This window comes from Homo sapiens, chromosome 11 (genome assembly GCF_000001405.40).
Source record: "Homo sapiens chromosome 11, GRCh38.p14 Primary Assembly".
Taxonomy (NCBI): domain Eukaryota; kingdom Metazoa; phylum Chordata; class Mammalia; order Primates; family Hominidae; genus Homo; species Homo sapiens.
This window is the reverse complement of record NC_000011.10, coordinates 49,194,135-49,212,826: the sequence shown is the minus strand read 5'-3', so window position 1 is coordinate 49,212,826 and position 18,692 is coordinate 49,194,135. Positions and strand designations below refer to the sequence as shown.

The following is an 18,692-nucleotide window of genomic DNA, read 5'->3' as shown; positions in this document are numbered from 1 at the left end:
AATGTTGACGGTATTCATCTCTGGATGGTGATATGTTAAGGGAAAGGACAGAGGGTTATAAAATGGTACTTAAGCTTCCTACTTTTTATACTTCTGTATAAAAATAAGCATTTTGGCCAGGCGCGGTGGCTCACGCCTGTTATTCCAGCACTTTGGGAGGCCGAGACAGGCAGATAAGGAGGTCAAGAGATCGAGACCATCCTGGCTAACATGAAATTCTGCCTCTACTAAAAATACAAAAATTAGCTGGGCATGGTGGCACACACCTGTAGTCCCTGCTACTCAGGAGGCTAGGCAGCAGAATATCTTGAACCGGGGAGGTGGAGGTTGCAGTGAGCCGAAATCGTGCCACTGCTCTCCAGGCTGGGCAACAGAGCAAGACTCCATCTCACAAAAAAAAAAAAAGCATTTTATTTTAGTAATAAAAATTAGCAGAGGAAAAATATATATTTTATTTAAATATTACAAGCATTTTTTCCTAAAATATGTTCATTTACTACTCCATTTCATCATTACATTGGAGACAGTATTACCACATTTTCTATTTTTCAAAATTCCGAAGCAAAGAAATCTGTCTACAAAGTTCCCTCTGCAAATATTCCCCTACTTTAGGTAAAGTTAGCATAAGGAGAATGAGAATTAATTACTTTGAAACAATGGAATTCAGATGAACCATTAGGGAACATTCTTATTTATCTATGGCCCTATCTTTTTGTTTATATCAAATTTAAAATTTATACTTTAAATACAATAAAGTGCACATATTTTTAACATATGACAAAAAGAATTCAACAAATATAAATGCCTATGTAACCACCCCCAATTTAAAAAGACTGAAATTTTAAAAAATCAAATTACTTGGAGAAATAAGTTAGAATTTTTATCTTCTAGAGCTCTGTTATTCAGCATGCAGTTTAAAGTCCAAGAATGCTATGTCTACAGATTAAGAAGTAGCCAAGGAGGCTGGGCATAGTGGCTCATGTATTTATTCCCAGGGCTTTGGGAGCCTGAGACAAGAGGATTGCTTGTGGCCAGTTCACGATCAGCCTGGGCAACATGGCAAGACCCTGTCTCTACAAAATTTTTTTTAAAATGAGTAAGGCATGGTGGCTGGTGTTTGTAGCTTCTGCTACTTGGCAGGCTGAGGTGGGAGGATTGCTTGAGCCCAGCGGTTTGAGGTGACAAAGCCAGACTTTGACAATAAATAAATGAAAGAAAGAAAGAAAGAAAGAAAGAAAGAAAGAAAGAAAGAAAGAAAGAAAGAAAGAAAGAAAGAAAGAAAGAAAGCCAGTGATTTTTCTTGACTAAGTATTTTTCAAAGGCAAATATGGGTAAAAGGCTGGAAATAAGAGGAATTAAAAATATTTTAATTTTTTTCTAGAACACACCTCATAGATGAGTATAATACTTTGATTTAGTTCATGTTTGTTTCTACAAATTCTGACATGAAGAGTCACCTTCAATCTTTTTCCAATAGTTAAAGAAGGAAGTATAGTATGGCCTAATGCTTATCGGTGGGATTCAGAAAACAAACATCTGCCCATTGTTTTCTTGAGAAAGTTGTCATGGTCAACAACTGTGAGGCTGGCGTGCAGGTAGTAAAAGAATTTACCTTAATACCAAGACAGTAATGAGTTTAGAAAGGCATATTTATTTAGAGAAAAGGGGAGACACATTGCAAGGGAGCAACTGGCCAGACAGCAGAGGGAAGGCTGTCTGCAAAGAGGCAGGGACTCGAGTGGAGTTTTATAAGGGTGCTCCTTAGGCTGAATGCTTGCAGACAGGATGCTTGGTTACAGATGGGCTGTGAGCTGGGTGCTTGTAAGAGGATGCTTGGGTGCTAAGTGAGCCATTTGCAGTTGACCCTATTCTTGGAACATTCATTCCCCTCTACCCCTGTTTCTGTTCCTGCCAGCTAAGCCCATTTTTCATTTTTCTTTTAACTCCTTAGCGCTCCGCAAAACTTAATCAATTTCTTTAAACCTCAGTTTTCTTATCTGTAAAAGGTAAATAATAATACAGGGTGCAACAGAAAAATCTAGTGTGGTTTACATAATCACCTGTTAGAGATTTTAAATTATTTCAGGATAAGTCATGATAATTAAATGAAATAATGCACATAAAGCACATAGTGTGGTGTCCTCCATATAGAAAATGCTCAGTATATTGGTTATTAACTACTTGTTGAAGGTTTATCTTCTCCACTAAACTGTAAGTTCCACAAGCCTTACAATATGTGACAGATATTCATTCATTGTCTGAATTCTTCAAATACATCCTCTTCACCATAGCGTCTTATTAATTGAATTATTAATTGAATAAATTCTATTGTTCAAAAATCACTTTTATATTTAACTGAAATTTGCTTACTTATAATCACATCTAACCTTCAAAGAAAACACATTAACCAACTGTACTGGGTAATGTTACTGGGTGATCCCACGTTTTACAAATGAGAAGATATATTCTGGTAAGTTGAATACTTAGCACCCAGGGGTACACAGCTTGGACAGGACCAGGTCCAAAGACTGTTAAGAGTCTTCTGACTCCAAACTCAGTGCTCCCTCCAGTGCCACAAGCAAACTCCATAAAGGTATCCTGTGCTGAATAGAGACTGTAGAGTGGTACAAAGTAAGACAGACATTATATTAAGTCTTAGCTTTGTGACTTCGAATGACTTACCTAATCTAGCTAAATTTCAGTTTTACCATGTGTAAATCGGGAAGAGTAATAGAACAAACCTTGAAGGGTCCCAATGGTGATTAAATGAGGTGATGTACATAACATGCATCACTCATAATAAGTGCTCTTTAAATATTAGTCACTATTATTAGCCATCTCTGATTAGATTTGACAATAGGAACATTAGGAAAGATATAGTACATTCAGGATTTTGTTAGAAAGAGATGAAGAAATTCCCTTCCTTCCTGCCCTAGGTCATCTAGGAGTTGTCATGGTTCATTGTTGACAAATTAATTTTCCCAAATTTTTCACTTTGCTCAGAAAGTCTACATCGAAGCACCCAAGACTGTACAATCTAGTCCATCTTTTTCCACTTAACTCATACTGTGCTCTCCCTTTCTCAAAGCAAACTGTTTGCTATTCCTTGAATACACTCTGAGTTTTCTGCCTTTGCCTACTCAGCTGGCCCATGGCCCCTAATGTTTCTTCTCATCTCCACTGGGTCAAATCCTACCTGTACCTTATGGTTCTGTTAAAAGCAGTGCTTCCATAAAGTACTCCTAGCAAATGCACGGCCTCTCTCACGGATTATAAGAACACAGTTTATTTTATAAAGCATGTAGCTATTCTCTCCCTTGAAATACGATTATTATTATTAAGAATTTATAGCGGGGATATAATTTTGTATGATGATTCTTCTGGTTAATCCAACCAAGATTGATTTTATATCTATTACGTAAGACAGTAGCCAGACATAGCCGGGATATGAAAATAAAGTCTCTGCCTTCAACAAGTTCCAGTATTCTTTTCTTTCCTCCCCTCCCCTCCCCTCCCTTCCCCTCCCCTTCCTTCCCTTTCCCTTCCCTTCCTTTCTTTCTTGAGGGAGTCTCACTCTGTCACCAGGCTCCAGTGCAGTGGCGCTATCTTGGCTGACTGCAACCTCCGCCTCCCCGGTTCAAGCGATTCTCCTGCCTCAGCCTCCTGAGTAGCTGGGACTACAGGAGCCCGCCACCACGCCCAGCTAATTTTTGTATTTTTAGTAGAGATGGGGTTTCACCATGTTGGCCAGGATGGTCTCGATTTCTCGACTTCGTGATCCGCCTGTCTGGGCCTCCCAAAGTGCTGGGATTACAGGCGTGAGCCACCACGCCCGGCTTTAAAAAATGGTTTTGTAATGTAAGTGGAGGATAATACCCTACATGTTTATTAATAACAATAATATTCTTTAGGAAAAAGGGCGCGGTGGTGATTTACACTGATGACAAGCATTCCCGACTATGGAAAAAAAGCGCAGCTTTTTCTGCTCTGCTTTTATTCAGTAGAGTATTGTAGAGATTGTATAGAATTTCAGAGTTGAATAAAAGTTCCTCATAATTATAGGAGTGGAGAGAGGAGAGTCTCTTTCTTCCTTTCATTTTTATATTTAAGCAAGAGCTGGACATTTTCCAAGAAAGTTTTTTTTTTTAAGGCGCCTCTCAAAAGGGGCCGGATTTCCTTCTCCTGGAGGCAGATGTTGCCTCTCTCTCTCGCTCGGATTGGTTCAGTGCACTCTAGAAACACTGCTGTGGTGGAGAAACTGGACCCCAGGTCTGGAGCGAATTCCAGCCTGCAGGGCTGATAAGCGAGGCATTAGTGAGATTGAGAGAGACTTTACCCCGCCGTGGTGGTTGGAGGGCGCGCAGTAGAGCAGCAGCACAGGCGCGGGTCCCGGGAGGCCGGCTCTGCTCGCGCCGAGATGTGGAATCTCCTTCACGAAACCGACTCGGCTGTGGCCACCGCGCGCCGCCCGCGCTGGCTGTGCGCTGGGGCGCTGGTGCTGGCGGGTGGCTTCTTTCTCCTCGGCTTCCTCTTCGGTAGGGGGGCGCCTCGCGGAGCAAACCTCGGAGTCTTCCCCGTGGTGCCGCGGTGCTGGGACTCGCGGGTCAGCTGCCGAGTGGGATCCTGTTGCTGGTCTTCCCCAGGGGCGGCGATTAGGGTCGGGGTAATGTGGGGTGAGCACCCCTCGAGTTAGGAGGAGGGTAGCTGGGAACGGTGCAGGGCTGAGTTCTCGACAAGCTGCTGGTAGGACAGTCACTCAGGTTGAGGGTAGAACTGAGAGAACCTGAAACTGGGCGTAGGAAGGTTCCAAGTGCTGGAGCCCTGCAAGACAGAGGAAGTTTTTTTTTTGCTTTTGTTTTGTTTTGTTTTGTTTTGTTTGTTTGTTTGTTTTTTTACCTCTCTGTGCATTCTTTCTTCCTTGGAAGTAACAGAGGCAAGCTTGGGAACTGTGTGAACCAGGTCAGCAATCTGGACAGGTCTTTACCAGCGGGTCTTTTGCTGTTTTTCCTGGGTACTGATTTGCAGACTTGATCCAACTTTCTAAGAAAAGCAGAACCACACAGGCAAGCTCAGACTCTTTTATTAAATTCCAGTTTTGACTTTGCCACTTCTTAGTGGCCTTGAACAAGTTACCGAGTCCCTCTCAGCGTTAGTTACCCTATTTTATGATGAGGATAATATTATCTGCAAATTATTGGTAATAGTAAATAATATAGCATGTAAATCTCCTAGCACAGTACTGGGATTTTCGCCACTTTATTTCTTCTTTTACCAAGATACTCCTCATTGGACTTTAATACACAGGACTAGTCTAAGGTATCACCAGGTAGTCCACTCCTGCTCGGAATTCTTGACCCTCTTTCGGGATTTAGAAGAACAGGGCATGGACCAGATGGGTTTAAACAAATTCAATATCTTCCACTAGCTTCACCTTGGGGTTGTTAAAAGATTTTTGAACCACACACTGTGCTCATAACAATCTTCATCTCTTAAAAGGATTTTATTCTTCCTGGTATTGCCCTCACTCTCATCCCTGTATTCCGTGCTCAGTGGCTGACACAGAAGAGTTCTTTATTGATGTCCGCCCCCCACCCACTAGGATTCTCTGCTCTCCCCTCCCCCTACAGGCCTCCATCCTCTTCATCCTGTTCATTTTTCAGATCTCAGTTCAAGCATCTCGTCCTCAGTGTGGTGTTTCCTGATCCCTCACTCTAATCCAAGTCTTTCTGTTTTATGCACAGGTGGAATCTTATTTCCGTTTGCGTGCAATCATGTATTTTAATATGCATGTATATATGTATGTGCATTTGTATGCATGCGATTAAGAACTAGAATAATTAATAATTGGAAAGCTCCATGAAAGCTGGTTGGGGACTAATTTTGTAACTACTTTATTCCCAGATCCTGTAATTTCTCTAAATAAACCCTGGAATCTTGCCTTATCTCCTTCAGGTTAAAAGCCAACTGCAAGGTCTAATGACTGCAGGATCTAGCTATCCATTGTTTCTGGCCGCCTATGCGTGCACTGGGTGTCTGGCAGAGAGGCTGGGTAAATTGTAGTTTCATTGTAGCTGTCTGAACTTGGATTTCTCACGCCTACTTCACTGGAAACGCAAACTCTCACAGCATTTTGTTTTAGTTTCAGAATCAGAGCAAATTAGAAGTCTGAATTTCCTTCAACACTTGGAAATAATTTATTTATTTGAAATATATTCATAATTAATTCGTTATAAAAATGTATTAAATGCTTATTTGAGTCAGCAGAGGAAGATAGAAACTTTATGAAAGTAGAAGGTGGATCTCCTTTTTGCCTTCATTTTCAGAACATCTCGTTTACACCCATTAGTTGAAACATTAATGTCATTTTATTTTCGTCCTGATTATCTCATAAAACATTTCTTAGAATAACAGCAATACCTATCATTGAAGTTGGATAAGAAATATTTTGCAATTGGTTTGCAACTTAAAAATCTGTTTGCATGACTCTTTTTCAGTGAAAGTAGGCAAGAGAAATTAAAATTCAGAAATATCTCACCTAATGTCAGAGGTAATATTGATAATTTGTGTTTTACAAATAATACATACAACAATAATGAAAAATAAGTCCTATCTATAGGCTCGTATCTCATGCCTATTTTTGGATGTATTTTTCAGGGTGGTTTATAAAATCCTCCAATGAAGCTACTAACATTACTCCAAAGCATAATATGAAAGCATTTTTGGATGAATTGAAAGCTGAGAACATCAAGAAGTTCTTATAGTAAGTACATCCTCGAAAGTTTATATGGACAAGTTGTTAGAAAAATTTATCATTCTGTTTTGGTCCAATATTTTATATATAGGAACTGGACTTTTTTCTTAAAATTTTATTTATTAAAGATCTTGGATCACATTTCATCTGAGGAGGACTATACTTTCAGCTAAATTTTGTCATTACAGAGGTTTAGAGCAGGAGTCAGCAAACTTTTTCTGTACAAGGACCAGCCTTTGTAGGCCAGCTGATCTGTGTCACATCTAGTCAGCTCTGCTATTGCAGCACAAAAGAAGTCATAGAAAATACATAAACAGTCAGTTCTGATAAAACTTTCCTTATGGGCACTGAAATTTGGATTTCATATAATTGATGTGTCAAAAATATTATTTTTAAAACCAATTTAAAATATAAAAACCATTCTTAGCTTGTGGACTGTACAGAAACAGTTAGTGGTCCAGATTTGGCCAGTGGAACCTAGTTTGCTGATTAATGCTTTAGAGAAAGATATTGCATTTCAGTTAAAAAAATGGACTTTGAGTTAGAATTGAGTTTGAATTCCATCTTTGCCTATTAATACTTTGGATGAATACTTAACCTTTCTGAGCTCTCTTTTCCACATCTGTAAAATGGGAATAATGATCTTATTATGATATGGATGAAGTCAAAGAGCATATATTTAGCATAAATTTGGCATATTTTAAAAACTAGCTCCCTACTTCCTGAAATAGCTATTTCCAGTGTAGGACGAAAGAGATAAATAAGTAAATTTAAAAAGCAACCAAAAAGAAAATACTTATATAGAATTACTATATATAATTGATTAGAATACTTGTTTTTTTTTCTTTTCTTTTCTTTCCTTTTTTCTTTTGAGATGGAGTTTCGCTCTTGTTGCCCAGGCTGGAGTGCAATGGCGTGATCTCAGCTCACTGTAACCTCCGCCTCCCAGGTACAAGCGATTCTCATGCCTCCTGAGTACCTGGGATTACAGGCATGCACCACCACACCCAGCTAATTTTGTATTTTTAATAGAGACAGGGTTTCTCCATGTTGGTCAAGCTGGTCTCAAACTCCTGACCTCAGGTGATCTGCCCGCCTCGGCTTCCCAAAGTACTGGGATTACCGGTGTGAGCCCCCACACCCAGCCCAGAATACTTGCTTTTTTTTTAAGCATGAGATCCTTTTGTGAATTTTTACAAATTGAGTTAGCTCATGTGTCCTAAAATACTTGAAGTCCCTCTAATGATTGCAGGATTCGCTGGTGAATAAAGGTTGTAATTCTAAATTAAAAGACCATTACACACACACACATGCACATAGGTATGCATAGATGTGCACACATATAATCATACAAACATATATATGTTTGTATTAATTACAACAGAATTAAAAGTATAAATACAAATTGATAGGATACCTCTCAGGTCTTTGGAAGGGCCGTTTTAAATGTGAGACTCTGAAGCTCGAACTTCTTTATCTTTGTGGAAAACCCTCCTCTGCCTGTTGTGCTTATTCCACTCTAATAATGTATAGTAGGTATAATAAAAGTGGAGGTCTGGCAAGGTATGGTCTTTACTCCTTGACAGAGCTGCTGTTCCAGCTTTCTTCCTTTCCCAATATTAGTGGTGGAAGAGATCCAAGTTACTCCAAGTTATCAGCAGCCTATCCATAAGGTCAGCAGCAACTTCAGTCCTTGCCTCTTCAGAAGAAAGAATTCAACTGGGGGCAAAAGCAGAAAAAGAGACCAAGGCAAGTTTCAGAGCAGGAATGGAAGTTTATTTTAAAAGGCCTTATAACAGGAAAGAAAGGAAGGTGTGCTTGGAAGAGAGCCAAGCAGGCACATGAAGGTGAGAGAAGGCCAAGTGCCCCACTTAACTGTGATCGTAGGACTTCTTTACGCTTGCCTCTTTCCCATGATTCTTCTCTTAGGGTGGGCTGCCCAGCCCTCCTAACCCTTGGGAAAAGAGCACCCGCAATGTGTTTAGGGAAGTATACACAGGCCCATCTGAGTCTCTCTTCCTTTTTCTGGTGGAGTGTACCTGGAAGATTATACTATACCATTTTTGTCTCTAACACGCATGCCCAGGAAGTTGCTTCTCCCTGGAGTCTGCATTCAGTTAACATTTTGGTGTTAACAGGTGTGGACCATCAAGAGCTGGCCTCTCCCTGGCACTGCTAAATCATTTTTAGAGAGGCAATGCGATCAATGCTGAACTGAACCATCACCTGACATTCTAGAGGGTGGGGGGAGAGCCCCCTCCTGACTTGCTCCTGTCTAACTACTTGTAACACTAACTTGTGACATAGATTGACCAACAAAGAAGAAAAATAAATGCCTTTATTTCTCTTTTTGGACCCTCAGCAAGATTAAGCAGTCAGCTTCTTGTTTATTCTCCATGTCTCTAACCAAGCTCCTCTAACCAGAACACAGGGGGATATTCAGCATAAACACACAAAAGAAAGAAATTGAAAGAATTCCCTCTCATTCCTCCAAGGACCACAGAATCTCCAGAAGCCTCCTAAACTCTCCAGATTTTCAATTTGCCATTTGTCCATCAGAGAGCTTTCAATTAAAATATACCCATGGGTCAGAGACTATTAAAACCTCTGACCTTCCATCTGGTCCCCCTTTAAAATCTTTTGTTCTGCTCTTAAAAGCCCCCACTGCCTCTGAAATATCTGCCTCAGTAGTGAATGGGAAGATTAATTAGGAGCAGCTTTTTTTCACTCTGCCTTGATGTACAGGGTTGTCTGTGTTTTCCCTTCTTTGAAAACACCCAGTTGAATTCACAGATCTGTTTACCATTTTGCATCTCTCTAGAGGGATTCTTCCTTTTCCACATTGTTTTGCAAGATAAGATTGTTTTAAAAGGTGTTTTAGACTTTTGGTCTCAGAATTTTACTGGTCTGTATTTGAATACATAGGTCTGTATTTGAATATATAGGCCCAATGAAATCACATATTAAACTACACTTCTTAATCTATTAATCACTTGAGATGTGTGTCACAAGTAATTTGTTGATACTAGAATATCAAATTTTGTTAAAAAGAAAAGGTAAGAATAAGAATTTACACATTTTCCAGAATAGCAAAAATCCATTCATAGATCTCTCTCAGACTGGTTTAAATATATTCCAAGTATCGTCACATTATCTCAATTATTATTATCATTATTATTTTCAGACAAGGTTTCACTCTGTTGCCAGGCTGGAGTGCAGTGGCACAATCATAGCTCACTGCAGCTTGGAGCTCCAGCCTCCCCAGTAGGTAGTACTACAGGCACATGCCACCGTGCCCAGCTAATTCCACCTTTTACTAAATACCTTCGTCATCTTGAAGTCTTGGAAACACTGCCAAATTATTTGTAAACAAGATGAAATGTACTGAAACAGAAACAACAGTAGCTCTTTTAAAGGACTGAGATAATGTATTCGGGCATAGTGGCTCACCCATGTAATCCCAGCTCTTTGGGAGGACAAGGCAGGCAGATGCCTTGAGTGAGACTCTGTCTCTACAAAATATTTTTTTAACTTATCTGGGCATGGTGGCATGTGTCTGTAGTCCTATCTACTCAGGAAGCTGGAGTTCCAGGTTTTAGTGAGCTATGATTGCACCACTGTATTCCAGCCTGGCAACAGAATGAGACTCTGTCTCTTACAAAAAAAAAAGAGATAATGTGACAATACTAGAAACACATTTAAAGCAGCCCTACAGTGATATATAAACAGAATTTGGCTATTTGGGAAAATTTGTAAATTCATATTTTTATTCTTATTCTTGTTTATTTTTTACAAAATTTGATATTCTGGTAGGTTCAACAACTTGTGACACACATCTCAAATGATTAAAATCATTGAGAAGTGCTATTTAATACGCAATCTAATTGAGCCTCAAGTCTTTGTGAAGTAGTGAGACAGTGATGTTCTCCCCATATACAGATGAGAAACTCAAGACACAGCTAGGGTTACATACTGAGTTAATGACAACACCTGTATTATACCACGTACATGATTTATGCTAATTAATTTATTTAGTGTTTGCAATGGATCTTTTTTTCTCCTACTAATCTTTTCCAGGATGTGTTTTGTTCAAATGAGTGAGTCCCAACCCTGATAATAGCAAAATGTTGTTTCCTAGTTGGTAGTGACAAGACTGTTACAAGAAAATTCACTTAATAGTAGCAAAGCCTTATAATGATTTTCTCCCACTTTTTTGTGAGTAGGTTCAAGATTCCCCATAGTAATTCCTTTTGCTTATAGGGACAGAGGCATAGCTGGCACTTCAGGATATCTGCATCCTACATTAGTTACATTGCAGTTTGTGATCTTTGTAATATTCAAGAAAATAGCGATATGTTGGCTGTTTTTCTGTTTTCCCTGCAGGTGCTCACTGATAAGGGATAGAGACTCCTTAGCTGCCTCTTATGTTTGTGTCCTTTTTGTTACAATATTTTCCATATTAGAAATTCTGTGTAAGATATTTTGCCCCTAAACATTTACCAAACGAGGATTTTAATACTATTTTTATAAATACAATTTAAATAACTTTAATATAATTATTAAAGTAAACAAGTTACAGGAAATTCCAATTTTAAAAAATTGAGTTACTTTAATTCATTGTTGATTCATCAAATAAAAAAAATTAAAATACATGGTAGAATGAAACTTGAAACTGGAATTATCATAGTCATGTTGGTTATTAGTTTTTTTAAATCACCATAAGGATGGAATTATGTTGATTTTATAAAGCTACATATTTAAAACTAGAAATTTATGAAGTTCCAAAAGTTTATGAACTATATATATATATATATATATATCTTTTCATGCTACATAATATCTTGTCATGTATTTAAGGGCTTAAGTTAAAAATACTTACCAATGAGCTCTTCAGGGAAACAAGAAATTTCCCAGGAGGGAGAAATTTAAAACAATCAAAAGCACCAGAATCTAAATATATTAAATGAGAAATTAGTCTACTCCTGAAAATATTTCTGGTAGCCAAATTTTGGCCACATAATTTCTTTGTTAAAGATATTCCTCTTCAGACTAATTATTGTCATTGATTTTAAGTGTGTCACTCTGTATGATAGATGGAGTGCAAGAGATTCATTCTGAACTTGTATCGGTATGTTCAGATTATTCTTTGATGAAGATACTTTATAAATGGTTGCTAATCAAAAAGTTTATCACTTGTCTATAACTCTCAGTATTTAAATAAATGTAATTATTAGTAATTCTTGCCATGTTACACCTTGATCTTTTGGATAAAATATTTTTGTCTGTTTCAATATTTTACACAGTGATATAAACAGATAATTCCATGTAAGTTCCAAGAAGTATAGGTCTTAAGAAAGAATATGATAATCTACCATACGAGGTTATAGTAATAGGATTACACATAATGATACAAAAATCAGTTTCTCCGATTTTTCTCTTGATTTAGTACAAATTAGAGCATAAAAATTTCAAAGCAGACTTTGAAAATCTATTTCATGCAATAATACTACCACTTTAATTTTTTAACGTATCACACTTCAAAGTACTTTTGTGTAACTCTGCTTTACTTTGTTGATTTGGAATAAAAGTTGATTAAACATTAATATCTAACCACTTTCAATTTTTGTTCACCAGTAATTTTACACAGATACCACATTTAGCAGGAACAGAACAAAACTTTCAGCTTGCAAAGCAAATTCAATCCCAGTGGAAAGAATTTGGCCTGGATTCTGTTGAGCTAGCACATTATGATGTCCTGTTGTCCTACCCAAATAAGACTCATCCCAACTACATCTCAATAATTAATGAAGATGGAAATGAGGTAAAAAATAAATAAATAAATAAAAGAAACATTCCCCCCATTTATTCTTTTTCAAATACCTTCTATGAAATAATGTTCTATCCCATCTCTAAATATTAATAGAAATCAATATTATTGGATCTTGTGAATACCTTTAATATCTCATTATCCGTGTCAACTACTTTCCTATGATGTTTGAGTTTACTGTGTTTTAGAAAGATTCGAGAAATTAATGCTTGATAACAGCTGCTGTTTTTTAGTTTTTAGTACTACACACCAATATCAAATATGATATACTTGTAAACCTCCAAGCATAAAAAGAGATACTTTATAAAAGAGATTCTTTTTTTCTTTTTTTTTTTTCCAGATGGAGTTTCACTCCTGTCAGGCAGGCTGGAGTGCAGTGGTGCCATCTCGGCTCACTGCAACCTCCACCTCCCATGTTCAAGGGATTCTCCTTCCTCAGTCTCCTGAGTAGCTGGGATTACAGGTGTGCACCACCACACCCAGCTAATTTTTGTATTTTTAATAGAGACAGGGTTTCATCATGTTGGCCAGGCTAGTCTCGAACTCCTGACCTCAGGTGATCCACCCGCCTCAGCCTCCCAAAGTTGTAGAATTACACGTGTGAGGCACTGCGCCTGGCCAGGAGATACATTTTTGATAGGTTTAATTTATAAAGACACTGCACAGATTTGGAGTTGCTGGGAAATGCACGGATCCAGTATGCAGTTTGACCCAGCAAGTTTTTATTGGTACTTAATGATTATGTCTCAATTGATCAGGTTGAACTCTGTGCGAAGAATTTGTGTGTGGACATTTGGAGAGGACAAGTTTGGAGGCAAGGTATTTTAGCATGGTATTTAAAGAATTTGCAATCTTGTTTGCAAGTTGGGGCATATACTTGAGAAAGAGAAGACAATGCAGATAAATTGATATATTTATTATGATGTATGTTCAATATGAAAGATCACAAAATATAACATACATTCATCCTTACTTAACATACCTCAGTTTTAGAGCTACCGTATGTAGAAGAGTCCATTTCTATTTAGGTAAGTTCCTTTAGTCCTTTTATTACTGGGCACTCTTAATTACATGTAGCTTGAAATATGTCCAGTTTGATCAGTGAACTGAAAATGTCATGTGATTTAAGTACATATATAATTTTTTTTCATAGTAGGTCAATAACCTCCTTTTATTGACTAATGAATCAGTCTCTTCTTAATGATTAATATGTTGTTATGTTTTACAGTCAGTGATATAATTCCATACTAAATTTTCTAATGTGATTGGAGCTTTTCATATTAACTACTGTTCTCAATCATAGTAGTTAACAATATAACTTTAAAAAATATTATTAAGCCAGGCGTGGTGGCATGTTCCCCTAATCTCAGCTACTTGGGAGGCTGAGATAGGATGATTGCTGGAGCCAGGAGTTGCAGACCAGCTTGAACAACATAGCAAGACTCCACCTTAAAAGGAAAAAAAAAAAAAAGAAAAACAAACTAAAAAAACCCTAAAATATATTATATTGAAAAGGCAATACCACTACACGTCATATAGTCTCAGAATGTTTGTTAAATAAGTGGTGGCATATCTATACAGTTAAATACCGAGGGGTCTTTAAAACATGTTCAGAAAATTTATTTAAAGAAATAAAATATTGACAATGTTAAAATGTATACATATGCTTAAACGTCTCTTTGATCTATCAAATTTGAGAATTGTCTAGGTACAATGTGGAAAAGAGCAGACATATAATATATTTTAGTTTTTGTTTTTGTTTTTTTTGAGACGGAGTCTCGCTTTGTCGCCCAGGCTGGAGTGCAGTGGCGGTATCTCCGCTCACTGCAAGCTCCGCCTCCCGGGTTCACACCATTCTCCTGTCTCAGCCTCCCTAGTAGCTGGGACTACAGGCTCCCGCCACGACGCCCGGCTAATTTTTTTGTATTTTTGGTGGAGACGGGGTTTCACAGTTTTAGCCAGGATGGTCTCGATCTGCTGACCTCGTTATCCACCCGCCTCGGCCTCCCAAAGTGCTGGTTAGTTTTTTTTTAAGATGGGGTCTTGCTATGTTGTCGTTTTTTTCTTCTTTTTTCGTTCCTCCTCACTTCCCAGTTTTGACTATACCATTGCTTATTTTATTTCATTATTTACTTTTGTATTACAAACATGCATAATGTTACCAAAGCCTGTTACATAATACAAAATGAATCATGTAAAAGTTTCACTTGGGAGATTTTCCTGAATAGTGTTAGATACCTAGTTTCTTAATTTTTTAAATTTATATCATTAGTTCTTTTTTATTTTTATCCAAGTTATATATGTACATAACCACATAATTTTCCTGAGTGCCTTGCTTTTTCTCTATTTTCCTCTTTCCAGAGGCAATCATTATTCAACTATAAGTTAATTCTTTTTATATTTACATCTATTTCTATAAATTACATGCTTATATGGCTTTTATTTCAGATGCAGGCATTATCTATTGACATTGTGACAAGTCAGCTCCCTGTTCATCCCTTGGCCCCAACCACCATGTTCTCTTACTACCTCCCATCTCCCAGTACAATTTAATTGTTATGAATAACAGTTCACAGCTGAGCTATGTGGTAAACTATGATTTCTTTTATACCCCTGCACAAAACAGACAAGTTCTCCATCCGTAGGCAACAAATATGATTAGTATTTTGTGGATCCTATGAGAAATATTTTTAATGTATACAGAGACATTGTTTCACCTTTGATTATGCAGAAATAACATCCCATAAAGATTTAACTATATATTGACTTTTTTATGTCACAAAATGTAAACAGAAATTATAAACTAATATTGTTTTAGTTATACTCAGAATATATAATTTGAGGCTACCAGTGCATTTTGGAAAGTAAAAAATACTCTAAGACTGAAATTTAATCTAACTTTGATAAAGTCAACCAAAAAGGCATTTCCTTGACATTAAAAACTTTTCTTACTTGTTAGAATAGCTCATAAACTTGCTGTAAAATTCAGTGTGGCATAGTGGTGCTGCAAAATTGATTACCATAAAGGCAAATCAAGTGAGACAAGTTTGAATATTCCCTTGCCTGAAAGACATGCTTATATAATGACTTTGTTCCTTTATTGATTTTTATTGCACCTCAGCATAATTTTTCTTTTAATCTTACCTAGTGATTCAGATGAGTTCATTTCTCATGTGAATCACAGAAAAAAATATGGGAAATTTGGAATATGTGGGGATGTGGCAAGTCGTAGTTGATTTGGTTTCATTTTAGCTTCTATCCATGTCAGAAAAGGGAAATAACTACTGCTCTAGTCAGTACAATGTAAAATCTGCCCAGATCCCCTCCTCATCTCCAAATCCCTCCCATTTGTATTACTGCACTGACCAAGACCTATACAATATAATGTTGAAAAGAAGTTTTGATAGCAGATATCCTTAACTTTCTTCTGGTCTTGAAGGAAATACCTTTAATTCTTTCTCACCATTAATTATGGTATTTACTGTTTTCTTTTTCTGGTTATCTTAAAGTACATCCTTTCCACATATACTAAAATTTTTTGCTGTATGGATTTATATTAAACACATTTTTCTTTAAGATGAGCATGCGATTTTTCTTTCTTGATCTGAAGATGACATTCAGTGTATTCTAATGTTAGAATAATCTTATATTTTTTGAACTTGTAATATTAGCATTAGGGTTTTAAATTCATATATTGATATATATTATGTTTATACTCATAGCATGTTTAGTCTGTGTTTTTGCAATCTATTTGTTGGGTTATAATTTCAATATTCTACTTGCCTTCTAAAATGAGTTGGGTTTTTAATATTTTCTGAAGTAGGTTTTATTGCAATTAAATTATTTTTTCCTTTAACCTTTCAAACTCAAGGAAAACCAGTTGGCCTTGACTCTGTTTGTGGAAAATTTTAAACTACTGGTTTAATTTCTTTATTGGTTGTAATATGACTATTTTACGTCATATAACAATTTTTATTGTTTGTTAAATGACTTTATTGTTTGTCATATGATAATTTTATGTCATAGAACAATTTTTATTGCTTGATATATGACTTTATTGTTATATGGCTATACAACTAGATTTTTTTGTTGTTTTTGACCGAGTCTTACTCTGTCACCCAGGCTGGAGTGTAATGGCATGGTCTCAGCTCACTGCAACCTCCGCCTCCCGGGTTCAAGCAATTCTCCCACCTCAGCCTCCCAAGTAGCTGGGACTACAGGCATGAGCCACCGCACCCGGCTAATTTTTGTATTTTTAGTAGAGACGTGGTTCCACTATGTTGGCCAGGCTGATCTCGAACTCCTGACCTTGTAATCCACCCGCCTCGGCCTGCCAAAGTGCTGGGATTACAGGCGTGAGCCATTGTGCCTGGCCGATTTTTTAAAAAATGTATTCTTATGTCAGTTTTCATAAGTTTTATTTAAAATGCATTTTCCATTTGATGTAAGCTTTCAAATTTATAGTATAGTTGTTCCTAGTATTTTCTTATCTTTTGTAATCTGTTCAGCGTCTGTAGATGTGCCTCTTTTTAATAAATAATATTATTTGTTTGCGCTTTTGCTATTTTTTTTTCTTATTGCTCTTGAGAGGGATATGTCAAATTTACTAGTGTATCCAAAGAATAAACTTTGGCTTTGGCAATCTTTTCTCATCTATCTTTGCTTTATATTTTATTAATTCTGTTCTTGTTTTATAATTGCCTCTTTTATCTTCTTTGTGTTTACTTTGCTGTTCTTTGTAAAATCCTCAGTAGAATGCTTAACTTATTGACATTCAGTCTTTCTTCATTTCTATTATGAGTATTTAGAGCCATAAATTTCCCCTTTAACTTCCCTTTCCACTTCAACTACATCTCACAAATTTGGATTAGGAGTAGTTTAATTATCATTAGTATCTAAATATTTTTTAATTTCTGTATTTTCTTCTTTGATCCTGCAACTATTTACAAGTATTTTTTAAAATCCTGAATATAAAGATTGTTATTGTTATTTGTTTGATCTGATCTCTAAATTGAATATATTGAGATCAGATAATGTGGTTTGTAGGACACTAATCCTTTGACAATTGTTGAGGCTTCCTTTGGAACCTAATATGTGCTCAGTTTTTATAGACGTTCTGTGTTTCTTTGGGAAAAACATGTATTTGATGGTTGTTTGGTTTAATATTTTGTATTTGTACATTAGTTTGAGTTTGCTTATTATTTGGCTGAAATCTCCATTATCCTTAATGTGCTCTCTCATTTTGTCTGCTTCCTTTATTAATTAGAGATAAATGTTAAATTATCTCACCTCACTATAGTGATGTCTGTTTTATACTATATATATAAAATTTATAATTCCATAAATTTATGTTATGTATAATTTGGAGACCTATTATCATATATAAACAGAATTGTTGATGAAATGACAGACTTATACTTATGTAGTAGCCTTTTTTATCTCGTCATAATGTTATTTGACTTTGTCCTAAAATTTTTTTTAATTAATATTTGTTTGGTATTTCTTTTTCAGCGGGTTTATGTCACTGCTTGTCAATTGGTACACAGCTGATTTTATTTAGACATGCTACGCTTTTTAATTATTCTTTTTTCCATTTTCATTTTTTATAATTCTGATATACAATATTTAGGTCACTTTTACCTTCCTCTAGTGTGAATTTTACTCTTCCTTTTTTCCCCTAAAGCTTTGGTGTCATAATTCAATCAATATTTCTACAATATAGAAACCTTAGAACACTTTCACTTTTGTTATATATTACCAATTTATATGCATAATTTTAATTCAGTCTTGTTTCATAAACTTGATAAATATGTTTATTAATATGATAGTAATAAGAATTTGGGAATTCTTTAAGGCTAATTTGAAGGCTGATTCCTCCTGATCATTTCTCTTAGGCCCCAGGGAGCACTACAAACCTGGCACTGCTTTAAAATAAATATTTTCGCTTGAGGCATACTATATAAACAGTGAATGGAAATTTGTAGGGTTATGAATTATCTGGAACCCTTTTTTCCTGCTTTACGCTAAGCCATTACTTTCCATGGAGCAAGTTTATTTTGAATTTATCCTTAACCCTGAAGGATATTGTTGTTCTTTTTTTTTTTTTTTTTTTTT

General features: G+C 36.5%; 1 protein-coding gene across 15 annotated transcripts in view; it reads left to right on the top strand.

Moving 5' to 3' along the window:
• FOLH1 (folate hydrolase 1) overlaps positions 4,225–18,692 on the top strand; it is a 63,511-nt gene continuing 49,043 nt past the window's right edge. For 3 of the 15 annotated variants that reach the window (XM_017017433.3, XM_017017432.2, XM_011519958.4), the window contains exons 1-4: positions 4,225–4,603; positions 5,953–6,049; positions 6,655–6,760; positions 12,386–12,572. In XM_017017433.3, the coding sequence (XP_016872922.1) occupies positions 4,418–4,603; positions 5,953–6,049; positions 6,655–6,760; positions 12,386–12,572 (576 nt within the window). In that variant the 5' untranslated portion in view covers positions 4,225–4,417. Of the gene's footprint in view, positions 4,604–4,931; positions 5,064–5,952; positions 6,050–6,654; positions 6,761–12,385; positions 12,573–18,692 lie in introns of all 15 variants that reach the window. The other 12 variants (XM_047426682.1, XM_047426679.1, NM_001193472.3 and 9 more) reach the window with 8 other exon arrangements.